Raw genomic sequence first — 27515 nt, forward strand, 5'->3', positions numbered from 1 at the left:
ACTCTCCTGGATGAAGAAAATAAGTTATTTTTAGATTAGCTTGCAGTTTCTCTGATGCCCCAAAGTCAAGTCTTTCAATGATCAGTTCTTGTGATGTAAAAGCAAATATTGAATTGATACTACTACTTAAGAGTGAAATGTCATTTCTTTAAAAAATTTTTTGTTTCTAAAATATCTATTTTTTCCAATTCATAGGAAAATTTGTTTCCTTATTTGTTTTACTAGTATGTTGACCAATAAGTGAAGGAAACTTCTCAGCTCAAAAGGCTTAAAGAGAGTGGAATAAATTATTTAGCATTATTCTCTGTAAACACGTACCCAGTTGAACAACTATGTAGAGAAAGAGGGGCTGTTAACTGTTCTCTGCTTCCAAACACTCTAAGCCAGGACACCAGGAAAAGCAACAGTGACTCCACCGCTCTCTCAGGTAAGGTCCCTATCCAGTGTGTAGGCAATTTCCAGGATCATTCATAAAAACTCAAGGGAAATGTGACAGGTATAGCATATAGTTTTGATGATTTTCAAGTTCAATTATAACATGGCATTTGCATGTTGTTTATCTTTCTGTACTAGATATATAATTTATTATTCAGTAATAAAATCAAGATTTTAACCTGGGTCAGGATCTTGAAGATTATAATCAGCTTAAACACTTTCTATTTTGGTGAGGAAATTGATATGTACAGAAATTCAGTCAGTTTTTCTCATATTACAAGGTAGTCGTAGAGCCAAGACTAGAAATCAGGTTTCTGACTTCCAATGACTTTGGCTAATTAGACAAAATTCCATCATGGTAGATGATTAAATAAAGGCTAAGTGCTGTTTCTGCCTATAGTTCTTAGTGAGTAGCAGTGGCATGCTAAGGATAAGGCCATGAAGCTTCTATCCTGGCTTAATTGTTCTTGGGGCAATTGTTTAGAGCTTAGATTAATAAATGATGTTTCAAGGAAGAATATTTTTATCACTGACACTGTATAGAATTATGGGCACATGGCTATTATTGGTTCTTGTTGTTGTTGTTGTTGTTGTTTTGTTTTTGTTTTGAGACAAAGTCTCACTCTGTTGCCCAAGCTGGAGTGCCATGGCACAATCTTGGCTCACTGCAACCTCCACCTCCTGGGTTCAAGCGAGTCTCCTGCCTCAGCCTCCCTAGTAGCTGGGACTACAGGCACGCACCACCTTGCCTGGCTAATTTTTTTGTAGTTTTAGTAGAGATAGAGTTTCGCTACGTTGGCCAGGCTGGTCTTGAACTACTGTTTTAAAATTCTATATAGGCAATGTATGCTAATGTGGATGACTGCTAGCTACCCTGTCATTGGTATGCCACAGATGAATAGTAAACTGATAATGTTCATTTAAATTCCAATACAATGTGTTGAGAGCTTAACTGCTGCTGATTATTACATGATATTTAGGTCAGAAGAACTCTGATGATTGAATGGAAGTGGGCTTTGAGCATGTACCCAGACTTTATTATACAGTTAATTTCCCTAGAGGTGTTAAATTTCAGTTTTTGGTCTAGAAGCTGTAAGAATATTCAAATTTGAGAGAATACATATTTGTTTTTTACAAGCTCATCATCTTATGTATCCTAATACTATGCCAAATGTTTTCTTGGGATTGAATAAATGTAATTTTTTTAACTTGGCCTCTGTTGATTCATTGGATGTTTGTTACTTTGAATATAAAAGCAGAACTTGGCAAGTCATACAACTCAATTTGGCAGATCACTCACTCTTAGCAAATGAACTGTGCCCAACATAAATCCACTCTAAAGTTTACAGAGGTTCAGTTCTGTACCAATGGAAATGAGAAGTTAGCTAAGAGTACAAGAAGCATGCTGATTGGCTGATGCAGGGTAAGCAGGCTACATAAAAGGCAGCTGTAGAACATCTGGGAAGGTCAATGATAGCATCTGCCTAGAGTCAAACCTCCGTGCTTCTCAGACAGTGCCTTTTCACCATGAGTGGGTGCCCATTTTTAGGAAACAACTTTGGGTGAGTATTTACCTTTATTCTAAGTGGGTTTTGGCTTTTAGAAGTATCAGGTGTGAGCATTTTAATTTCTGAATTTAAGGAGCATTGAAAACTGTCACCTTTATTCCTTTGTCTAACAATCTACTCTAAAGAAAATTTGCAATGAGAATTTTAATCACCCATATCATTAGTTAACTGTGTTTTCTAAAGCACTATTTTTCCCTCTTGATTTATTAAATTTGCAGATATACTTTTAAAAAACTCCCCGTAGAAGGCAGCGAAGAAGACAAATCACAAACTGGTGTGAATAGAGCCAGCAAAGGAGGTCTTATCTATGGGAACTACCTGCATGTAAGTGGCAGGGTCCTTACAGGGTTTGGTGTCCATTGTTAGGCACTCAATTCTGCCAAGTGACTTTTTATGATTTTATTTCTTGGAATTAGGGAAAGTCACCAATCGTTTTCTGGACCTAAGGATATTTTTATTCATAAACACTTTTACGTTTTCAACTTTTGTTAGAATAATTCAAGAGACTTATAGGATAAAATTCATATCTCCAGTGGAAGTAAGAGCAGAGAATCCAGAATCTGGGAGGCGTATACATGATAAGATACACTGTGGATAATTCACAGGCATTGTGCAACTTGTATAGATAAGACATGGTTAATAAATGTCAGCCTAGATAACTGCAAATGTATCTTGAAAAAGTTCTCCTTTAAATCTCTTATCATGAAGTCGAAATGTAAAAGGCACACAGAGAATTTTCTTAAAATCATTAACATATAAAGAGGGATGTTAATGAATGAGGTATTGGGAGATTATTCTGGGCCAAGTTTCAGCCTGTTTGTCTTCTATTTTTTTTAAGAGGCAAAATGATTAGTCCTTGATGTCTTCATCGGTGAGTTTCTAAGGATTAACTGATAAAGAATGTTAAAATATTCTTAGAATAGGCTCTTTAGGGGAATAAAAGAATGCCAAATGCATAGTCAGCTCAGCAAGTTTTCAAGTTTTCATCATATTCATTTCATGAAAAGGGATATGATGTCTCAAAGAGCTTAATAGGATTTATTATGATAAAATCCTACCAAATAGAAATTTTCTGAGAAGAATAAAAATCACAAATTCAATTCACTCTTTATGATGAGATTCGTCCATTGTTTAAAAGAAACTAGATTGGTTTCTGAGAATTTTGAGTTTGGAGGAGCATTTGTCATTATCATATTCTACTTCTTACTAAAGTTCATAAAAACCAAGTTCTGCAATTTCAGACAGGCTTTTTATTTTTCATTTCAAGTTGGAAAAAGTTTTGAATGCACAAGAACTGCAAAGTGAAACAAAAGGAAATAAAATCCATGATGAACATCTTTTTATCATAACTCATCAAGGTAAGTTGCACAAAGGTTTTGGACAATATTCCACAGGCATTTCTCATTGATAACGAGGAAAGCTACAATTTTTAAACTACAAAATGATGAAAGATCATGGAATCACCTCTGTTAGAAATGTTTGAGAATATTTTGCTGCCAGATGAATTCTCATAGGACTGATATAAGGATTTCAATAGTCTTCTTTATGTTACTCCTCTGCTAATAGGTGAAGTAGGACTTTAGCTTTGTTCTTAACTCCAAGGGGACTTTCTGCCTCTTGGAATTTCACTAGGAATTCACAAGTGAAGATGTTACGTTTCTCACTTCGGAACACTAAAAAACTATTTTCAAGATCATTGAAATTTATGCTGGATTGACATAATCCTATACAAATCTAGTAATAAAGACAAATGTAAATTGTGTCCAAAAATGTATGTTTATCCTTTCCAGATTTCTATAATGATTTCTGGGCAGTGGGTTTTTTTTTAGCCTATGTGTTCATGACTTCAGAAGTTTAGAAGGTCCCTGAACTCCAAAATTATGCACAAATTTTCATGAATATTATCTTAAAGAGGTCTGTGACCCCAAAATATTAGTAACATTTACTTTAAGCTTTTCAGTACCACTATACTGACCTCTTAATGACTGGAGCCCAATCACTGTTGCCTGCCAGTGCCCCACATCTAGATGTGTTTCCCTGCCTTACCAATTCTTTGTGTTCTTTCCTCAAATGGATGCTTTCCAATGTGATTGAGTAAATTAATAAACTCTGGTAAAGAAATTAAAAGTTAAAAAACTGGCTTAATGTGTCAGTTCTCCTGTTTTTATGTTTATACTTTTATGGGTGGCTTATACCGAGGCAATATCAATAGGAGAAGAATCATGGTATGGTAGCATAAATTAGGAATTTAAAAATTGTTTAGTATCTCAGTTCTACTGTTATAAATTGTGTGACTCTGGTCAAGTTGCTTAGATCTCAGGACCTCCATTTCCCCATACGTAAAATGGAGAGAATTACTGATGCTCTCACTTACAGAGTTCCTAGGAAGATAAATAAGATAATGTGCATCAAGCATTTAGCCCGAGGTATAGCACATAATAAACATGCAACAAATGGTAGCTATCATTATTTTATAAAAACACTTTTCTTCTATTCTTTAGTTATAACATGTAGGCAGTGGTTACATAGGGTTAAAAAAGATATACATAAACTGATCAATAAATGTTTGATTGTTCTTTGCTCAAATATAAAAATTAGGTCCCCCAAAGTCTTTTTAAACATAACTTAGAGTTATAATTGGATTCTCTTAATTAGTATGGAAACATTGCCTTTATCCATATGATTGAACCAAATAGGATGCACTGAAGATCTCTAAGATTATTGACTTCCTGTGTCATCTAATTATTACATTGTCTATTTAATTTATTCATAAAAATAAAAATAATCACCCAATATTTACTTTATGCCTGACACTGTGCTAGGTAATGAAGAAAAATGGATGAGTATGAGTAAGTCCTTAGTTTCTAGTGACAAAGAATACTATGGGAAGGACAAATCAACGGGGAGAACCATTTATATTTGCTATGAATCATCTAGCAACACAAAGGAGTCAAAATGTCTATCCATGTCTACCATACTGCTGTAAGTCTTAAGGTTTTGAATCATAGGTTTCCAATTGTAGGTGGGTAACTGATCATTTTGCAAATGAATCAACTGAAGTTAAAGAAAATGGTTTTGCCCCAATTGACACAGCCCGTCACTTCAGATAGATTGATTCCAACTATGCTTCTTCCAACATGTCATTACTGTATCACTTTTCTTTAATGCCAATGTTACTGTTTGACAGCCCGTAGTAAAAGGGGAGAACAAACTTAATCCTTCGACAGAAAAGCTTTGGCAGTATTCAGGTTTGAACAAATAAACCTTGGACTCATGGAAATTCTGAAAGATGATCTACTGGATAATGTGAACTCAATTGCCACAAAGTTCCCCCGGGAATTAGCTGTTACAGTAATATGAAGCTTTGCCATTTTCCTTTGACCACAAACATCTGGCCGCTTTCCCATATGTGCTAAGTCTATGAGTTGCTAGGATTTTCACAAATAAAACAAACAGACAAAATGCTGCATTTTAAGTAACTTAGCTTTGTATTTTCAAGTTCTTAAAATCCTACAGTCTTTCATTTAGGTTAGGAAATATTAATTTCTCAGTGTGTAGATGAAGTTGATTATCACTTCTGCTTCCCCACATACTTCCAGCTTCCATAGAGGAAGCTAGAATTAGGTTATGTGCTATATCCTCAAAGACCTAAAAATGCATTTGTTGAGAGGAATTAGTGTAATAATAATGAATATGAAGCATTAGGTAACATGTCTAGCATATTAAAACATTTAATAAAAGGAGGCTATTACAACTTTAACACTAACATTTATTTCTGGCACACAATGGGACTATATTTACATTTATTGATTTTAAGGTAACATTTTAATTTCTCTTTCAACATGTTAAACATATCTTTCATATAATAATGGCCAAAAAGGCTCCCATAACTTTCCAACTGACAATGATTTCCTTATTACAGCTTATGAACTCTGGTTTAAGCAAATCCTCTGGGAGTTGGATTCTGTTCGAGAGATCTTTCAGAATGGCCATGTAAGTTCTTATGTCACAATATTGGTTTCATGTATATTTTTGGAAGATATGGAAAGTATTATTAATGAGAGAAAAACATTAACACCAAATGGTGGTCTTAACTTTTAATGATAGAACAAACAGACATTTTATGAATGAATGAGGAGTTCAGTCATATTTTTCCATTGCTATTTTGAAATTACATGTGACTTTAAGGTTCCTTTCAAATTTCAGTTTCAAGTCCCTTGTTTAGAACTCATTTCCACCCACAAAGATGTTATAAATGATGGTGGATTACCAAGCTAATGGGGATCCTTTAATTAACAGGTACCAGAATTGTATTTCTACTGAATATTAGCTGCAGGAAGATGGGAGCAATAATAAAGAAAGTGAAAAAGGAAGAGAAGGAGGCAGTAGAGAAAGAGTGGTGGGAGGAAGAAAAAGAGGAAGAAAAGGGGGAAAAGGGGAATGGGGCAATGGGGAAGAAAAGGACAGGAGGACAAAGAGTGAGAGGAGAGGAGGGAAAGCTTCCAGTGACGGCAGGAGCTTGAGGTGCACTTCTCCATCTCCCACCCTGCTTTCTCTTGCCATGGCTCTGAGGATCCTTCCTTGGGTCCTCTACCTCTGAGCCCCTGCTCCAAGAAGGGCTAGGAGACAGAGCACATGGGACCCATACAGATGGGACCCTTCCTGCCTGCATGAATCCACTTCCCATTTGTGTCAGTGGCAACTTTGGCCCTCAGTAAAGAGTAGATTGATCCACATGTTGTTTAACCCTCACTCAGAAGTTCCTGTGTTATCTTGACCTCTGTTCTTTGAAACAAAACTAAAAGAGAAACTTGTTTTGAAATCAGTGGGGGGTTGTATTCTAGAATTTACTTCTGCTATGCTTCTATATAATTTTCTATTGTCAAAGAAAGAAAAAATTTCTTATTTTGCAGAAATTCCTTGCCCACAATTCAGAACTGTTATATACTCTTTGCAAATTTTAGTTTCAAAGTTTCCCTTTAAAACCAAATTAGAGACAAAATTAATGGGAATTCATTGCCATTGTCTATTTTGTATTTTCTAGAGGTCAGCATTGCTAACTCAGTGTTTCATTTCTTAACCTTCAGGTCAGAGATGAAAGGAACATGCTTAAGGTTGTTTCTCGGATGCACCGAGTGTCAGTGATCCTGAAACTGCTGGTGCAGCAGTTTTCCATTCTGGAGACGATGACAGCCTTGGACTTCAATGACTTCAGGTGTGCACATTTGGCATTTTAAAAAATGTGATGGAATTTACTTTCTCATTTTGGTGGGGTAAAAGCAGCATGTGTGTGTTTTGTGCCATGAGGAGCCTGTCTTACTAACATTTTGTCACTATATGGACTTAGGGGTCTTCGATCACAAAGCATTTGAGAAGTTATTAAAAATATTTTATTATTCATTTTTACATGTAAGCGTAATATGATCAATTGATTTAAATTCATCACTGTGTGTTCTGTTTTTCTCCAAAAAGAATTTTAGACAACTTAGCACATTGACTAAAATAGCTAATAAAATACATGTAATTAAATTTAAAAGATATAAAAACTCAAAACAGGAGCGATATATACAGAAGCATGTCAATCAAAGTAGAAGTTATGGATTAAACCATAAATTTTACCTGTACATTTCAAGGCAATACCATATAGATAGCTTTTTTCTTACCAAAATGTGAGAAGAAAAAAGTTTAAGAAACTTCCATTGGGTGTAGGATGTAACATGCATGTCCTGAACATGTCTGACAAAGGAAAAGTAGAATTTGTGGTGAATTTAAAACGTTAAAGTCTTAGCAGCAGTGAAATGAAAGACATTCACAAAGATATAATATGGGGAGTGGGAGTAATAACATTTTTGATATCCGATGATATTTAAGTAGCTCATTTTTCTGATTTCAGTGAGTCAAATCACAGGTCTAACTCTAGACAGTTGTGTGTATCTGCTCTTGATATCCAAGAGTAAAACTGACAGTCTCTACAATCTCTTACAATAGAAGAAACCATTATGGTGGTTGATAATGTCAGCTCTTCTCTTCTCTCCTCTCCTCTCCTCTCTTCTCCTCTCCTCTCCTCTGGACTCCTCTCCCCTCCCCTCCCCTCCCCTCCCCTCTCCCCTCCCCTCCCCTCCCCTCTCCCCTCCCCTCTCCCCTCCCCCCCCTTTCTCTTCTCTGCTCTTCTCCTCTCCTCTCTTTCCCTTCCCTTGCCTTTCCTTCCACCATTTAATCTCAAAGAGAGTACTTATCTCCAGCATCAGGCTTCCAGAGTTTGCAATTCCGACTATTAGAAAACAAGATAGGTGTTCTTCAGAACATGAGAGTCCCTTATAACAGAAGACATTATCGTGATAACTTCAAAGGAGAAGAAAATGAACTGCTACTTAAATCTGAGCAGGAAAAGACACTTCTGGAATTAGTGGAGGTATGGATTCATACAATTTATAAAGTTTAACTCAATACATCTTCTTAATTTAGCTTTTGCTAAATCAGAATTTTAAAAACGTATATCGAAACTGAGTTACATTCAGTGGAAATAAGGATAGAAAGAATTCATAAAAATACATGAATTTGTAAATTCATGTTACTAAAATATTGAAAATGTCAAGAACCCTGCTGAGAACTTCGGAAATACTTATGTAATCAATTGTATGCTAATATTTAATAACCTTATCATCTCAATAAAACAATTCCTTAAATATCCCTTCTAAGTAACACTTAATTAGCTGATTTTTAGACTGAGTGTGATTATTTAGTGAGCTTTATTGTTTTAAAATATTCTGTAATTGAAAATTTCCAGTTATTTAGTATTTTTCTTAGCTGAACTAAATTACTAAGAATATACACCTCAGAAAATGTTCCCTTCATATCCAAATTCCCTAAAGGTCTGTAAGTAGCCTTTAGGAATTATTAATTTTTTCTTCAAAATAGATTATTAAACAAAGATTGTATTGTCTTGCTTTCCATTACAAAGCCTTTTCTTCTGCAAATTAACTTTTCTTGTGTTGAATTATACTCTGCTCATTAATCCTCTGGGTATTGTAAATGTGGATTTAGGTTAATGTATTATATATAATGCCAAATAATGGCAGATAAGAATAGGGAGAAAAAGAATTACAAAGCTAATTTCAGAATTATAATAAGTATAGGTTAAATGAGAACTCACAGAGGTACATGAATTTAGTTTTATTTCTAGATTTAAAAACATTTTAAAATCTCAAAGTAATTGCATGGATGGTTAATTTCAAAGTTGCTAAGTATACAGTGCCCATGAATTTAGAAGAGATCGTATCTTATACATATCGTAATTTCTTAAGCTCCTATGACATAAAGTAACTTGAGAATAAACCAGAATATATTAGTAAAATAATTATTAAGAATATACTCTTTAAATATGTTTAGATAGAACATATGTTTAAATATGTTTGTAGATTTCTAGAAGACAATTGGAATTTCTGTAATCACATATTTCTTAAGAAATAAAGAGTAAACATTATTAACCATTGCCATAAAAATTAAGAAAATTGAATATATTAATTATTTCATAAATGAAGAAATTGAAGAGAAATAAAAAACATTTACAAATAAAACTTGTAGCATATGTTTCTGGAAACCATGAAGATTTCTTGTTTTAAGTTTATACATGTCGGTTACAATGCATTTTACATAATTTTACCATGTACTCACTTAAAAAATAATGTTTATTTAAGGCATGGCTGGAAAGAACTCCAGGTTTAGAGCCACATGGATTTAACTTCTGGGGAAAGCTTGAAAAAAATATCACCAGAGGCCTGGAAGAGGAATTCATAAGGATTCAGGTATTTAGATGACATGAGTTAATATAAATTCAATACAGAAATATTCAAAATTTTATTTTAATTATTTTTTGCTTTTCTCTTAACCTTTTCTCTTTCTCATATTTTTTTCTTAGACAAATGTATTTTCTTGGACTATGTGACATGATTGATTTCATTTTCTTTATGTGTGATAAATATTATACTAAAATAAGACCTTCATTGCACGGGAGAATTTTGTCTATGATAACTAGCTGAGATTAATATTATTTTTCATTTCTATTGAAAATTCTATATTAGAACCAATTTTAGACAGAACTAGGCCCACAGTGGACTAACGAACCAAATCTATTTAGCCCTGTAGCTTTGCTTTTGCTCTTGTATATTTACTGGGTGCTTTCTGGCAGCTCTCAGACAATGTCAGTTTTCTCCTACTTAAAAGATACTGTTGATTGCTCATTGCCCTTATCTTTCAGGTCTCTCATCCTCTTGGCATGACTAAATTTCCTGGAAGACTTGTTTAAATTCTACATCTTGAGAGGTTGCATCAGGTAGTGCTGAAAGCATAGACTTTGAAGTCATGCTACTTGGGTTCCATTTCCACTTCCACTTCTTAAACAACTATGTGACAGAGAACAAGTGACTGCACCTCTCTTAGCCTATCTTTCAGCATTGGCAAAATAGAAAAATAAGAATATCTAACTCATAAGATTATTATGAACAGGAAATTAAATAAATACTTGTAAAGCATTGAAAGCAGAAGTCAGAATAGTTATCTCTCAGCTAATCCTGAGCTTACTTCAAGCTGTCTTCCTGTACCATCATTCTCATGTGGCCTTCATGTACATAAATCCAATGGCCATTTTTAATCTTAACTTAGTTGACCTCGCAGAAACATTCAATACTAATGACTACTACTTATTCTTTCTTGAACATTCTTTTCTCTTGGATTTAGTATATACCATTATGTTTGCTTCTAATTCTCTGGCCCTTATTTCTCTATCTCTTTTACTTGCTCTTATTTCTCTCTCAGACCAATAAATGGTAGAGTTTTGTAGTCCATTGGCTTAGATCCTTTCTGTTCTATCTCTATACTCTTTCATTAGATGGTGTCATTTATACCCACTGCTTCAATATCTACTTAGCCACCATAATTCTCAAACATTTATCTCTGGTTTATATATCCCCTTAGATTTCAGAACATGTATATAATACCTTACTTGATATTTCCTCCTGGTCCTCTCAAAAACACACCAATAAAACCAAACTTGAACATTTCCCCTTCCATCCACTCTTGTACCAACATTGTCTTCTCTGCATTAAAGAATTTTTTCTCCTATAATCCATCTAGGCTGTCGTCAGACTCTTATCAATCAGTGATCCTTGGCTCCGCCCTCTTGTTTCACCACTTCTTCAAGCTATCATCAAGTCCTACCAATGTTACCTATTAGCTCTCAAATATCATCCTTTAATCTACCACTACCACTCAAGTGCAACCCTCCATCGTTTTTCACCTGGACTATAATAATATCTGAACTGTGCTCCCCCACCTTCCCAGTATGCCTCTATTCCAATTTAGTCTCCACATTGCAGTCTGAATAATCTTTTCAGAAGGCAAATCTGATCACATCTCCCTTTTGTGTAAAGCCTTTTGATGTTACCTCATTGTTTTTAAAATTAAGATAAAATTAACCTGGTCTATAAGGCCTTTATGATCTCACATTCATGTGGTCAAGCCATATTAAGTTTCTTTATTAGCTAAGTTTAGTTCTTTGGATTTATCACCAAGGAGTCCTTTTATGTGTTCTTCTCTGGGCTTGGAATGTTCTTCCCCAACTAACTCCTTCCCACTCTGAAGATCTTGGCTCGAGGAAAACTTCTTTAGAAAGGTCTTTCCTAAACTCCTTATTACTTTAAGTTATGACATATAGCATAGTCTATGGTTGTAATTTAATGACTGTACTGGGTTATTATTTGTTCAATGTCTTATTCCTACCAGATAATTCCTGTATAATATCACGACTCTCAATTTTTGCACACAATTTTATCTCTATCATCTTAGCATGACATGTATTGAATAAATAAATAATTAATTTGAAATAATATGCATATAGGTTAGTACTACACAGTGTGGTGGTTCTGATGAATTGGAAATAATTGGGTTAAATAATTTTCCCCAGCTCAATTAATTGGCTTATAAGCAGAATATGTGTTGTAGGCAGAAAAATAAGAATTTTCTTAAACCAATCAATAGATAGATAGAAAATGAATAAAACATGAGTGAGAAATATCTAAGAAATTGTATTTACAGAATTCAACACTGAATATAGAACATAGAATTTCAATAGGTTTAATAGTTCTTCTGACTAGGAATTCTTAACTTTTTCTAAGTGAAGTTACCTTACTTCCTGTGTTTAATTCTTGTTTAAAATTATATCATTATTAACTGCTGGTAGTTATCTCCAATTTTGTCCATCTGAGTCCATTGCTCATTATATTTATGAAGATAATATTTAATATTGAGAAATCATTTAAACTTAAATAAAAGGATAGAACCACTGAGTATGTGGAAGATTCCTTCTCATAAGACATAATTTCCAAATAGTAATATTAGAAGATACAGTAAATATTAAAAGTACATCATTTCTGCAACCATAAGTCTTTTCCTCATAAGCAAAGTTTTCTAAAATATCAATCTACTTATTCTCTCTCAGGACTATTAATGCCATATTTTTCCTAAAGGCTAAAGAAGAGTCTGAAGAAAAAGAGGAACAGGTGGCTGAATTTCAGAAGCAAAAAGAGGTGCTACTGTCCTTATTTGATGAGAAACGTCATGAACATCTCCTTAGTAAAGGCAGGTATTTTTACTTTATGAATCTTTTCCCTGGAATGTGTGAATATGAGATCAAGACATCATTTTATAAGACTATCAAGCCTTACTTGGGAGAAATAGAATGAAAATTGATATTCTACTGATAGAAACAAAAATGGAGTAAATGTTTTTGGTGATAAACCTATTTTAACGGGTTTCCATGCCCAGATTATTTGAAAAACATTAGAAAAAAATTTATAGTCTCTGCCAGATATACGGGATATCAAGATGAATTGCATATAGTTTCTCAAGTAGTTCACAGCCTAATAGGGACAGAAATGAAGACAAATCATTGTAACAGTAAACACTATGGTAGAGGTAAGAAAAGGAAGGAATAGCTACCGTGAGAGCAAGTATTGATGTCGCCCCATTGTTTTAGAATTAAGATAAAATCTTTAACGTGGTCTATAAGGCCTTTTATGATCTCATATTCATGTGGTCCAGCCATACTAAGTTTCTTTTATTAGCTAAGTTTAGTTATTTGGATTTATCATCAAAGAGTCTTTTTATGTGTTCTCTGGGCTTGGAATGTTCCTGCCCTCTTTCTCTCTTCCTCCCTCCTTTGTGTGTGGGTGAGTTCTTTCATACAAATCTGCTTGACTGACCAAGATACCAGGAAAAGCATACATTTAGACTTTCGGCACAATTAGTACTGAGCTGTTAGTTCCTGAAATTTATTGAGCCATAAAATCAGTACTTTCATTTCTAAACTTTTGCGTTCATTTTGACTTAGAACTTTTATTGTAACGCATCCCAAACCTTTTTGGAAATATGCAGAATAAAAGTAAAAATTAACTTTTATAACACAAGTACGAAACATAGCAATACGTGAAATTGGTATTAAGTTTTATAAGCTTAAAGGTTGTTAGCTTCTGTTTTCTAAAAAAAACAAATCTCAGTAAAGAATAGCAAAATCTTGTTTCGCTGCAGCAGGGAGAAAGTCTTTCATTAGAGCACACATGTATGATTTTACATAATTGTGCTCATTAAAAACAAGTTAACTAATGTCAAGTGAATTAATGAAAACTACTTTGAAATGATGCTTATAACACATCACTACTTTTTTGAAATGAAAGACACATATTCTTTTACTCGGAAAATGAATTTTATTATGAAAGTCAAGTGTTTTCTAGAAAAATCAGGTTTTCCTAACATGCTATTTGAAGGTTTTGAAAATTTAAAATATGTACATTTTTAGTTTGTTTTTTAAAATCCAATGTTAAAATTGTATTTTAAGTGATATGTTTACAAATTCAACCTAAGGGATAAAAAATGTAAACTGAAACTTATATTGATTTCTAAACACATGTAATCCATTAAATTTTTTAAGATGACGATGCCAAATTAATACAAAATTACCTTAAATGACCTAAAAAATTTAAATTTAGTATGTATTTTGCAGGTGAAAGACGGCTGTCATACAGAGCACTTCAGGGAGCATTGATGATATATTTTTACAGGTAAAGCAAATCCGAAGAGAGACTGAAGTTAAAATTGAGGGGTGGATATGGATAACATGTCCAGTATAAAGCCTAAAAATTACAATCATAGTTTAATGCAGTAATTTAGTTTTTGTAGAAAACTTGGAAGATAATTAGTAATGAAGTTTTATGCCCCCGTCCCTTTTTTTTTCTTTTAAATAGTAAAGGCATAACTTTTTCCCTGAACAGGGTTAAAAGGGGTTAAACACTACACAAATTAATCAAATATCCTTTTTTTTTTTTTTTTTTTTTGAGACGGAGTCTCGCTCTGTGGCCCAGGCGGGAGTGCAGTGGTGCAATCTCGGCTCACTGCAAGCTCCGCCTCCCGGGTTCACGCCACTCTCCTGCCTCAGCCTCCCGAGTAGCTGGGACTACAGGCGCCCACCACCACGCCAGGCTAATTTTTTTGTATTTTTAGTAGAGACGGGGTTTCACCGTGTTAGCCAGGATGGTCTCGATCTCCTGACCTCGTGATCGGCCCGCCTCGGCCTCCCAAAGTGCTGGGATTACAAGCGTCTAAAAAGCACTATGTAACACTAAGTGTCCTAAATGGCCAGTTTACTCTCTCAGAGACTCACTCATGAAATGTGTTCTATCATTAAACAATGCTCTAAGATTATTCCTGTTTAAGAAAATAAAAAATGCATGAAGTGAAAATAACTTGCAAACTGTACCACTTATTCAGCAATTTCAAGTAAAATTAGCTTCATTGTCTAAAAAGTTTGAAGTATTCCTGAAATATTGACTCACTCCTACTCTATTGTATGAAGGTCCCATCCTCAGGGTTCATGAATTAAATGTGTCAGAACAATAAACATCACACTAGTAAAAAAATACCTATATTTACAGGCCGTCATGCTTCTGTGTATTTAATTTTTAAAATCTTCTCAAGTCTTTCTTCAAAATGGCAACATAAACAAAATCTTTTGACTTTTTTCCTAAACTCAAGTAAATGTATGCCAATTAGGCATATGTGTCCTAACTAGAAAATATGCTGAGAAAGGTGAAGAAATAGATGTAAAAAAACAAAACAAAACAAAACAACAACAAAAAAAACAAAACAAAAAAACAAATAGATGAAAAGAAATAAAAAGTGGTTTTTCCTTTTGTGTTTTAATATCTTTGCCTAGAAGTGTTTGATTATTTTCGGCTGGGAAATCTGTAATAGTGCACCTGTCTCGCTTTTAATAAGAACCAATGTTAGGTGTGACTCTAGGTGATTACTTCATGTATATTACATGGACTTTTCTAGGCTTCAAACAAACACTGCAAGTTGAGTAGTATTATTTCATCTTTGAGATGGAGAAACTGAGACTGAGAGAATAAGCCAAAGCTGCCACAGCTCCTCACAGGCAAAGCTGACATTTGTTTCCAGGGCCAACTGATTGTCAAACTCATGCTCCTCCTAACACACTCGATTTACTTGAATATATTCTTCTTTTTCTTCTTTTTTTCCTTTAGGGAAGAGCCTAGGTTCCAGGTGCCTTTTCAGTTGCTGACTTCTCTTATGGACATAGATTCACTGATGACCAAATGGAGATGTAAGTCCTTCCCACTCACCCCATGTTGCTTCCCCACATGCTGTTCCTGTGCTCTTTATCTTGGTCTTCTGTGTGCCCTCCTGCCCACTTTCTCTCTTTCCCCCTCCTTTGTGTGTGGGTGCATTCTTTTATACAAATCAGCTTGGCCATCACTCTCTCCCAGGGCCAACTTATTCATATACACACTAGGCACAGTACCTAAGGCCCACAATACTTTTGGGGGCTCATGAAAATGTTTTATTTTAAAATCTAAAGGAAAAATTAAACTTTAGGTCATAAAAGTTTTATTACATAAGAGTAATTTATTTGCCATTATGCCAATGCAGTTTTAAATTTTTAATTTTAATAGTTTTTTTATTTTTTTAAATGAAGGACCCCATAAAGGCAAAGGTGGCATGGACTCATGAGTCATATTATGATCCTGGTCTCTTCTATTGTATCCATGGGCTAAATGCAGCGAAGGATGGAGTGAAATGCATGTAGCCTGAAGCAAGTGGAGCGCTAGGCAACCTCACAGTCTCATCTGGCTCTCATGTATGAGCCTTCCATATGGCCAAGTGTTAGTTGTCAACATTTTCTCAGAAGCAATTATCATTACCAACCCCTCATTGTTAGAACATTGTGGAACTAATGGTGGAAAAATATCCATGGAGTAAATTTGTATGTTTGCCTAGATAACCATGTGTGCATGGTGCACAGAATGCTGGGCAGCAAAGCTGGCACCGGTGGTTCCTCAGGCTATCACTACCTGCGATCAACTGTGAGGTAGGTGGGGAAATTCTCCTTTCTTCCTGGTGGCAGTCACCAACAATTTGTTTCTCCACCTATACATTTGCTATCTAAAAAAAGCCATTTTATTTGCTCCTGTCTGAACTACTAACAACACGTTTGTAGTTAGAATATTCCAGTTCAGACTTTTGGTGGTAATTTTATAAAATCTTTAATTATGAACTTTCACTGTTTTGATCCTGTATGAAAAGGGATATGGTATCAATGGCTGCATGATATGTGAGGACACAAAGGGTTTAACAGTGCTTACATCCAGGCAGAAAAGTCTTCAACTCATTGTGACTCAAGTTTTGACCAGACTAAAACATTTATCATTAATTCTACTAATGTCTTCCTGGCTAGATAAATGACACAGTTAAAGTAGCGTCTTGTTTTCTGATATGGCTATTTTATATTATAAAACTATTTCCATCTACTCCAGAGAGTGCCCCTTTTAAAGTGTTTACAAGGAAAGAGATCAACATTTATTGAGGACTTAAAATATGCTAGAGAGGTTTCTAAGGGATGTACATTCTTATTTTGATATTCACAATATCATAGATAAATGGACAAATGGATACATCGGGAAACTGAAAAACTTCTGTGGTCCCTTGAAAAAGAAGAATCAATTCAAGAATAAATTAGACATTTGCATTTAGCCCCACCTCAAATCTTTACAGCACATTGCTTTCGTCCCTACTGTTATTACCAGATTGGTTGGTTTCTGAAATACACAGGTTTAAATTTTCATCATTTTTAGACATTTTCACTGTCCCTGGAAATGAATTCTGTAAGCACAAAACAGTTGATAACTGCCTATACCAAATGAGCACACACATCAGTGGGTGGTGGGAATAATGAACACAAATGGCATCTCTAGTGTGTTGTTATCTCAGTTTTAAAAAGACCTGACCAAAAGGAAGGACTAAAGTTTTCATTTTATAGAGTTAGAAACTGGGGCATTGAAGTTTAAACAACTTGTCAAAGGTCCTTGAATTGTAGGTGATAGAACCAGAATTTGAACCCAGATTTATTTAACTTCAAAGGCAAATGTTCTTCCTCCATAAAACTGCAACAGTTAAAATTGTTGACTAACCACACAAAAGCAATTTTAGTGTTAAAACTACTTCATGGACATTTATTATGAGTCTAAGATGGCATTTCAATTTATTAAACCCTTCAGGGCAGTTATTTGGCATCTTTTCAGTTGGAAATATTTCCAAATGAGCATCTAAGACTGTTTGCTTTAAATGTATTACCTTGCATAGCATCCTTCAGAAGTAGGAAATGAGAACACATCTTTATCTTTATGAAGGTGTCAGCAATAAGACTCTCGGTTTTAATAGGAAACACCCTGTTCTAAAACACATAATACTGTTTTATGGGCATAAACTTTGAAAATGGAATAAAAAGCAGACAATCAATACTAATACTACATAATACCTAATTTAATATATGATATATACAACATGCAATATATATTATAATATTGAATACTAACTATGGAAAATATCTGAGAAATAAATTTTCTAATTGAAAAATTTAAATATTTCATGTCAACCAATGTAACACATCTTCATGTATGTTTTTCCAGTGATAGGTACAAGGTATTTGTAGATTTATTTAATCTTTCAACATACCTGATTCCCCGACACTGGATACCGAAGATGAACCCAACCATTCACAAATTTCTATATACAGCAGAATACTGTGATAGCTCCTACTTCAGCAGTGATGAATCAGATTAAAATCGTCTGCAAAATCTATGAAGAATACTGGTTTCACAGCCTATTTTTTATTTTCTATGGATTTTCATAAATACAGTTTGAATATATGTATGCATATATTGTTCAGCACCACGATGCTCTGATTTAATTCTAGAAACAATTTGATTACCTCTTGTTTGTGACAAGACTAAGCATTAAGATGAGAAAGAATACATTTAAATAGTAACATTGTACATAGGGTGTTTTCCTATTAAAAATTCAGTTTCCCCTGAGACTTAATGTAACCACTTAATGTAATCACTATCTCATTGTTTCATCTTTATAAACTTGTAAACTTCATCTATTTCAAATATTTTATGCAGTACATTATATTATTCTGTACAAAGGCTTTCAAACAAAATTTTTAAAATAATAAAGTATTAATCTTTCTCCCTGTATTGTTTTTGAAATATTGATTGTATTTGTTAGGAATCTTAATGACCAAAGACAGAAATCTATCTGAAGTTTGTCTAGAGGGGATATACTGAAGAATTACTAGCTTGCAGAATTCAAATGAACACTGTCCAAAAAGCCTTGAAAGAGGAGCCTGAAAACTCTGATGCCACAAGGACTGGGTCCAGTTCCTGGAGTGCTATATTCCTGGAACACTCTTCTGAGATCTTTTTTGTCTCATCTCTTCTCTGTAGGTGTTGGCTTTATTCTTTCCTGCAGTAGAACAGCTTCTGTCTCAGGCTGGGTCCCAGTTTCCAGCACCATCAGACTCACACAGGGCAAAGCTTCTCTTTCCCCCAGCTCCCATGCCTGTGGTCTGGGAGGTGGAGTGAACTCTAATGCATGCAGAACTGAGGTAAAAGCAAGGAACAGTCCCCTCAAAGAAGATGTGCTTTCCAGAAGAAAGTACACAGACTGGACAGTGACCCAGTTCATTTCTAATAAGACATTAACTAAGCTAAGAGTTTAGATCAGACATGAGTTTTAGTCTTCTTTTTCTAGCTTGGCCAGGTTATTGGGAAAACTTAAATTTTTGTTATGGGAGGAAGTACATAATATTATTTAAGAAATCTAAAATGTATGTCAACCTTGACCTAGAGTGATTATCACTAGCAAGCAGTAAGTTCTTGATGGAATTGAACTATTCTTTGGTTTCATTTGCAAGTTTTTTCTTATAAGGTCTTATAAGGATTATATCATCTAGTTTGTCTCAGAATTACATATAATTGTTTTTGTCTCCATGACTGTTGTGTGCTCATGTATGTGTGTATACACAGTATCTGATGGTGGCTAGGCTGATATAATACAGAGGCAAATGGCATGGTGGCTAAAAGGCACTAGCTTTGAAATCAACAAGCTCGAGGGCAAATTCTGGCTCTGCCATTTATTAACTATCTGGTACTATCACCAGTTGAAGCCTAGTTTCCTATCCATCTGGGGATAAAAGTACTTATTTTATAAGCTTTGCTATTTCCCAGGAGAAACATGTGTTAATAGATATTCTGTCACCAAAGTGCCTTAGAATATTGGTGTAAATGTTATTTGTCAACGTTTATCATTATTTTAATAGACTGTATTAGTCAGGATTCTCCAAAGGGACAAAACTAACAGGATCGATGTATATATGAAGGGGAGTTTATTAAAGAGTATTGACTTACAAAATTACAAGGTGAAGTCCCACAATAGGTCTGCAAGCCAGGAAGCCAGTCCAAGTCCCAACACCTCAAAAGGAGGGAAGCCAATATTGTAGCCTTCAGTCTGTGGCCGAAGGCCCCAGAGCCCATGGCAAATCACTGATATAAGTCCAAGAGTCCAAAAGTTGAAGAACTTGGAGTCTGTTATTCCAGGGCAGGAAGCCTCCAGCATGGGAGAAAGATGGAGGCCAGAAGACTCAGCAGGTCTGTTCTCTCCATGCCTCCTTTCACACTGGCAGCTGATTAGACAGGGCCCACCCAGGCTGAGGGTGGGTCTGCCTCTCCCAGTCCACTGACTCAAATGTTAATCTCCTTTGGAAACACCCTCACAAACACATCCAGGAACAATACTTTGCATCCTTCAATCCAATCAAGTTGGCACTCAATATTAACCATCACAACTTTGTCAACTTGAACCCATCCACATCTCCTGAAATCACACATAATCTTCAACTGAAGCCAATAATAAGGTCATAATTACATCTAACACAATACAGCTATCCTTTGTACAACTGGAAGTGCACCAATCCCCAATCCAAATGCTATTACCTAAAGTTAACAACACTTAAATGCTGATATGAAGTCAACAAATCTTACATCACATGATAAAGGAAAAATAAAGGAAATAAAATGAATATATTTTCTTAGTACAAGTATATATATGTGCAAACATGTTCTCAACAAAATAAAGAGGAAATACTCATGACAATTACAGTCCTCATTTCTGCAACTGGTCACATGGCTGAAGCTGCTATTGATGACTACCTTATTCCACTACCCCCATTCCTTATTCTCTTTGCCTTCAGCAAGCACCTCAGCAGGTTGTGGCTTTGTACCTGCTGGAGTGACCCAAACCTTCATTCCTGAAGTATCTGGGCCATTTGTAGTCCTGCCAGGATTGTGCCGTTGTAGTTTCCCATTGACATTAATCACAGGGCATGGCAATACTAAGAGACACCCTAAGGGTTCTCCTGTGTTCCATGCCTACTCTTCCTTACCTCCATTGTGGAGTAGTAGACTGATTTCGTCTTCATAGTCCAGGTCAATCACCCTGGCCAATACTGTAACTCCCTTCTTAGCCTGTTGCATTAGTCTGCTGTTATGCTGCTAATAAAGACATACCTGAGACTGGGTAAGTCATAAAGGAAAGAGGTTTAATGGACTCACAGTTCCACATGGTTGTGGAGGCTTCACAATCATGGTGGAAAGCAAAGGAGAAGCAAAGTCATGTCTTACATGGTGGCAGGCAAGAGTGCTTGTGCAGGGGAACTCCCATTTATAAAACCATCAGATCTTGTGAGACTTATTCACTACCATGAGAACAGTATGGGAGAAACCACCCTCATGATTCAATTATCTCCACCTGGCCCTGCCCTTGACATGTGGGGATTATTACAATTCAAGGTGAGATTTGGGTTAAGAGACAGCTAAACCATATCATAGCTAAACCATATCATAGACTATATGGTTATATTTAGTTCTTTACACCTATATTTCTTGGTGTGACTAAGCTAGAAGTTGCAAGAGTTTTATCAAAGGATATATCAGTCATTCTTCATGTAAATATCAAAATAATTTAGACTGCAAGTCCCCACCCTCCCCAGTCACACTTGCTTCTAGTGCTGATGACCCACTTTATAACTTTTAAATGGGCTAGAAAATCACTGTAAGGTGGGCTAATTTAGTATTCACTTTGAGATCTTTGTGAAACCACATCCAGAAACACGTTGATGACTTTCATTATGACTTCTAATTATTAGGTGAGGATTTTGTTGCTTTGACTTCAAGTAGTTTGTTATGGCTGGATCACAGCATAAGAGTGATCAAACTATGCAGCACAGCAGCAATCACGGTTGAAAAGGTAGAGAGGGGCTTCTTCGTGAAAACTCACTTAAAAGAGCTCACATGGTATCATAAGGCATTGGGAGCCCTTGAACGGTTGTGAACAGAGAAACTGATAACGTCTTTGAGAAATGTAAATGCAGGGGAAATACAGTAGATGGACTATAAGAACATCAATCTGAATCACCAGACTTTGGGTCTGGACTAAGGGACATAGAGAATAATGAGTAGGCTACTGAATAATGGAGATAAATGACACTAAAGAACATGCAACTAAGAAATGACAGTAGCCACAGGAGGTAGGTAATTCATTGATGGGTTACCAAGGTGCAGATGACCTGCTTAAATGTTTAGGATTTGTCTTAATTTTATTGATTGGGTGATTCCATAATGTTGATTCTGTTAACCAAAATAGAGGCTCTTAGAGGTAAAGGAAATTTTTGTTGGGGGTGGTGGGAGAAGTTAGGGAGGATGACGAATGGAGTTTCGGAAACACTGAGGTTAAAGTGCCTATGGAGAAAACCAAAAGCTGGATATATTAATTTAGAGCTGAGAAAACTGTAAATATAAAGCACATTAATACCGTGTTGACAAAATGTAAGCCATACACTTAAGAAGAGGTTCTTTTTAAACCAAAGTCAAATGTAGGTTGTTTTATTGTAAATGTCATCAAAATCCAGAACAGCAGAAACATATTAATCAGTTTGAAATTTTAGAAATCCTTTAGCACTTGAAAAAGAGTATTACAAATGCATCTATATCACATAGAAAGTCAGCGAATACAAACTAGACAAGCAGGACATAGTTCTTTTCTGGCATTCCAGGATAATAAGAATATTTATCAATTAAAAGGTCAATATCTGTCTTCCTGAAATAACTCCAAACCTGAGTCAACACACATTCTTTTCGGATTGGTTCTGACTGGCGTAAGAAGAGAAATACAGCATTTTGTTTTTTATTTTGTTTATCTAATCACAGGGAAGGATAAACAAAGGGCAAAAGTGAGAGAAAAAGTTAGATGTCCTTGAATTTTTTTTTTTAGTGGTTGCTACTGCATTTCATGTTTCATTTTTGTTAGATCATATACATTAGAAAAGAATGATACATTTTAGAGAAGAAATATGTACATACATAGTATCAGAAATAATTTTCTTGTATTGATTCATTTAATATGGTTGTGCTTATATTCAATCAGAAGGTCAACTCCTTTGCTCTAAGGTTCTTACACTGCTAACAAGAAATGGCTTTTTTCCTGTTGCAGGTCATGAGCAGCACACAGTGTCCTTTCTAGGCACATAGGATCATCGATCACTGTGTGGACGCAGGCTAATCAGAATTGCACCTGAAATCACTTGTGCAATTAGTGATGCAAGAGTGATCACAGGAATCAAGACTGGGAGCCAAGAGAAAGAACAAGAGGTGCACAAAGAAGCAGTTCGGATGGGAGACCAGGAAAGCTGAGGGGAAAACTGGGAAACAGATTCTGGAAAACTCACAGTTTGTTTGATACCCAGGGTTAAGAGATGGGACTTTGATAGGAGTGGTGCTTATGAATTAAGGGAGGAAGAAAGAGGTGAGATCCTAATGTTGGTAAAGGTACAGAGACAAAGGGAGCCAACCAAGTGGTAAGAAAATAGAAATGGAAAGTAAAAATGAGACTTAATTCTTTAGTCAGGGAAGCCAAGCCACCAGGAAAACTTGGTAAAGAGTAAGAGAAAGAGGGAGAAAATATGAGATAATATTTTGGTATTTTGATATACTAGAGAACAAAATATTATTCTATAGTATAAAAAGAACAAAGTAAGCAATATGATCTATTGGATTCCTATTCACAATGAAAATTATCAAACAATAATTTGTCTCTCAGGCAATGCTACTAGAAGTTACTTATATAGTTGCCTTATTGTTCATTTAATTTCAGTTTAACTGAAGCGATTTTGCCCTTTTCCTTCCTTCTACGTGGTCACTCTGCTGTTCAAAGGGTAAGCACCATTTGTTCAGGTAAAGCAATTGGTGTTTGAAATCCTTCCGATAGATACGCCATCTCAGAGGGCTGCTAATATAACTAACTGTACAAGACACACATAATTTTAGGTTGGCCATTCTTGTGTATAGGGGTAATCTAAAGCTAGTAGTTACACCCCACAAAAGAAAATAAATTCTTATGACCTCTTTGATCCCACCTGAAATATCTCACAATAAACAAACAAATAAATAATAAGCAAACAAAAACAAACAGTAGCCTTCCCCAGTTGCAGGGGCCTAAAATATCTCCTAATCTGAATTTCGTCTCAGGACAGGAAACTATTCCATAGGCTTCCTCGCAGGCTTCTGTGCTGGAGTTTGTCCCACTGACTTTGGTTGTCCATCTCTCTACAAGAAGGGAACATTCTGAAACTTAGTTTAAATACTACTAGGCCTTAGAATCTTTTGTAGGTAGTTGCTGAAACTTGAAGTTGAATAATACTTTGAAGTACTATGTTACATTGCATTATGAAAACCTTCATTTTTGTAGCTGTCTCTTGATCTGCCCAACATGTCACACAAATATAGAAGAAACGGAATCTGCAATACCTAAGGGAAAAAAAAGGAATTATTAGTCTATTTCCTCTTTAGATGCTTTTGAAATTGTAAATTAAAGCAATTTTTCATTTGGGTTCAGAAAGAGTATCTACTGAGAAAATAATGTAATGCTTATCACAGCTTGTCAATGTAAACATGGTATCATCAAAAGCAGATATTAGAAGAGATTAGGCATATTAGAAGTATGCCTAATATTTTTGTTTGAAGAAACTAAAATAATTTTAAAGATTTTAAAAATCCACAACAAAAACTACCTGTTAACTGAATAAATGAATGCATCTGGAAGCTGTATTAAACTAATACATTATTTCTTAGAGGCAAAATAACTTAAGAAATTATTTTAAATACAATTTCATAACTCAAATTCTAAAATTTGAATGTGGGTAAAACTTTAATAAATCACGAGTGTGCTATGCTTTCTTTACACACGAGAACACAGATTGCAACATCATGGCAAAAGCAATAAATAGCCTATCTGAAGACTGGTTTTTATTATAACTAACCGTATCTTCGAAATCTCTTGCAGCTATGAAATACTATCTGCCTTATGCCATTGCTCATAAGAGTAATATGACATCATTGTAACTTTCAGGGAATACTCACTTTCAGGAAGAATTTGAATCCCTGTATGATTACCAACCAGGCATGCCCTTAAAGATTTACATTATGAAAGCAGGTAGAGAGCAGAAATTATCTCCACTCACCCTTAGTAGCTGAGGGATGGAGAAAGGTTGTGGTGAGGGACGTAGTTATAATTGAGGCAATTATGAACCAATATTTGAATTATGTTATTTTAACACTCCTGTAAGAGATTTGAAAGCAGTCACCCCTCAGCCCAAATCCAGGATCCACCACTGCTGCAGTCGGACATAATATATGTTCAGCAGCAAGGGTTAATGATTAGCATCAGTCATTTATCTGCAAGTTCCAAAGATGTACGAGTCCCCAGTGATGCTGAAAAGTGGAGGCCTGATGGGGTTGCTAGTATTCTGGCCAATATATTTCTGTGATGTTGACTTTTTTCAATGAATAACTTATAAAAACTGTCTCATCAGGGTGATAGAACAGATCACTCATGAACTCTCATGGATTCTGCCTTATGGAATGATTGGTTAATAGTCATTGAACATAAACTTTCAAATTTTTCTGTAACTATTTAATCAGTCTCATAATCTGAAAGATTCTGCATTTAAAAAAATTGTATATATGTTGGAACAAATTATAATAAGAAATGACATGATTGCTCTAATATGTAACTTAGTTTGGGTCTAGCTTGATTCAGAAAATATGTTGATTTCTAGACCAAAAGTTTTAGAATATAGGTTTGAATATAGTTTTATAACACGGTTAAAATTCTTAACTAGCTATTTTAGTTTGGTTGGTGGTTCATTTAAAAAGTTGTGTTTCAGGCTGGGCGTGGTGGCTCACGCCTGTAATCCCAGCACTTTGGGAGGCCAAGGAGGGCAGATCACGAGGTCAGGAGATTGAGACCATCCTGGCTAACACGGTGAAACCTCGTCTCTACTAAAAATACAAAAACAAAAAATCAGCCAGGTGTGGTGGCGGGAGTCTGTAGTCCCAGCTACTCAGGAGGCTGAGGCAGGAGAAGAGTGTGAACCCGGGAGGCGGAGCTTGCAGTGAGCCGAGATCATGCCACTGCACTCCAGCCTGGGAGACAGAGCGAGACTCTATCTCAAAAAAAAAAAAGTTGTCACTCAATAAAAAAGCATGTTTGGTATTTGCCTAAGCCTCTCAATTCTAGTGGGTGTTTTGCTAGAATTTTGTAGGTGGCAAGGGGCATATTAAATCACAAACAATACTAATGCTTAGTTTTCGTATATTTTAAAACAAAGAAAAACTCTTGATAATCATTGAGCAGATATTATAATACAGAAATTAAGAAAAATTTATAGTTATGAAATGTAAATTTGGAACAAGAAGACATTTCTGCAGGAGTCCAGTCTCCTAAGCTGTGTGTTTATCTCATTTTTAAAGCAATTAACCTTGGTAAATTATTACTTTATCTTATGTTTTGAGATATATATGTAATATATATTTTTTACTAAGGTCCCTCTTCCTTTTTCAAATACTAATATGTTTAACAGTTCCTCTTGCAAAACACTTTTTTTTTTATCATTTGGTTAAAGGACAAAAATTATTACTGCTAAAGTGGTTTGAGTAGATTGTAACTCTAAAATATTCAAATAATCTCCTTAATATTTATATTGAGGTTTTAAACACAAACTCATGACTTACCACAAACATTACTTCCCATTTTGACATGGGCATAACCATCTACTCCCCAAGAACTTCCCCAGGAATTCCGCACAATCCAATATGGAGTGCTTCCTACAGTGAAACATAAATAGTAACAAATCCTGAAAACTCAAATTTGTTATGAATGTTTAAGTTTCTTTATTTTAAGTTGGATTCTTGCTAAGGATAGTAGCTCTGAGAAGAAGATTAAAAATGTAATTTAATGGTAACTTAAACTACTTTATTTTAACTAAGTAAACCTGAGCAGTACTTACGGACACTCTCCAATCAGTAGAAATATATGTTTGAATTCACTTCCCTTTATACAGGGACTGCATAAAATGAAAACAAACACTAATTTCCAAGGAATCAGAAAAAGAAAAAAGAACTTTTAGATACGTATGATAAAATAATATGCACTTACCTTTTCCCAACAATTATTCTAAATGTTCCCGATACAGTTTTATATCAACAAAAATTATCATCATTTTAACAGGATATCCACTCAAAAATTGACAGGTGGAATCTGACAAGACATTTACATTGGGAACAGGCCCCCCAAATCCGGCCATAAACTGGTCCCAAAACTGGCCATAAGCAAAATCTCTGCAGCACTGTGACATGTTCGTGATGGCCATGACGCCCACGCTGGAAGGTTGTGGGTTTACCGGAATTAGGGCAAGGAACACCTGGCCGAACCCTGGGCAGAAAACTGCTTAAAGGCGTTCTTAAGCCACAAACAATAACATCAGCAATCTTGTGCCTTAAGGACATGCTCCTGCTGCAGACAACTAGTCAGACCTATCCCTTTATTTCGGCCCATCCCTTTATTTCCCATAAGGAATACTTTTAGTCAATCTATAATCTATAGAAACAATGCTTATCCCTGGCTTGCTGTCAATAAATATGTGGGTAAAGCTCTGTTCGGGGCTCTCAGCTCTGAAGGCTGTGAGACCCCTGATTTCCCACTCCACAC

At 35.3% G+C, this 27515-nt stretch overlaps 2 protein-coding genes across 2 annotated transcripts in view; one reads left to right on the forward strand and one right to left on the reverse strand.

Annotated features, from left to right (window-relative positions):
- The first annotated feature begins 1899 nt into the window (after positions 1 to 1899).
- On the forward strand, positions 1900 to 18610 carry TDO2 (tryptophan 2,3-dioxygenase). The gene is made up of 12 exons (NM_005651.4): positions 1900 to 1997; positions 2222 to 2327; positions 3271 to 3361; positions 5926 to 5996; positions 7091 to 7218; positions 8229 to 8415; positions 9701 to 9808; positions 12527 to 12638; positions 14059 to 14116; positions 15599 to 15678; positions 16353 to 16443; positions 18041 to 18610. The coding sequence occupies exons 1-12, from the start codon at positions 1963 to 1965 to the stop codon at positions 18192 to 18194; spliced, it is 1221 nt and encodes a 406-aa protein (NP_005642.1). The 5' UTR covers positions 1900 to 1962; the 3' UTR covers positions 18195 to 18610.
- Positions 18611 to 22321: 3711 nt separating this feature from the next.
- Positions 22322 to 27515, reverse strand: part of CTSO (cathepsin O) — a 29749-nt gene continuing 24555 nt past the window's right edge. Inside the window, exons 7-8 of the mRNA NM_001334.3 lie at positions 26540 to 26632; positions 22322 to 24274 (exon numbers count right to left, since the gene is read on the reverse strand). Coding sequence (NP_001325.1) covers positions 24240 to 24274; positions 26540 to 26632 — 128 coding nt within the window. The 3' untranslated portion in view covers positions 22322 to 24239. The remainder of the gene's footprint in view (positions 24275 to 26539; positions 26633 to 27515) is intronic.

The sequence above is a fragment of the Homo sapiens genome, chromosome 4 (genome assembly GCF_000001405.40).
Source record: "Homo sapiens chromosome 4, GRCh38.p14 Primary Assembly".
Classification (NCBI taxonomy): Eukaryota; Metazoa; Chordata; class Mammalia; order Primates; family Hominidae; genus Homo; species Homo sapiens.

Excerpts from the sequence above, each read along its gene's own strand:
- TDO2 (NM_005651.4), top strand. The coding sequence starts at position 1,963 with ATGAGTGGGTGCCCATTTTTAGGAAACAACTTTGG. Across the intron at positions 1,998-2,221 it reads TTTTTAGGAAACAACTTTGG|ATATACTTTTAAAAAACTCC; the intron begins GTGAGTATTTAC and ends TTAAATTTGCAG. Across the intron at positions 12,639-14,058 it reads TGAACATCTCCTTAGTAAAG|GTGAAAGACGGCTGTCATAC; the intron begins GCAGGTATTTTT and ends TGTATTTTGCAG.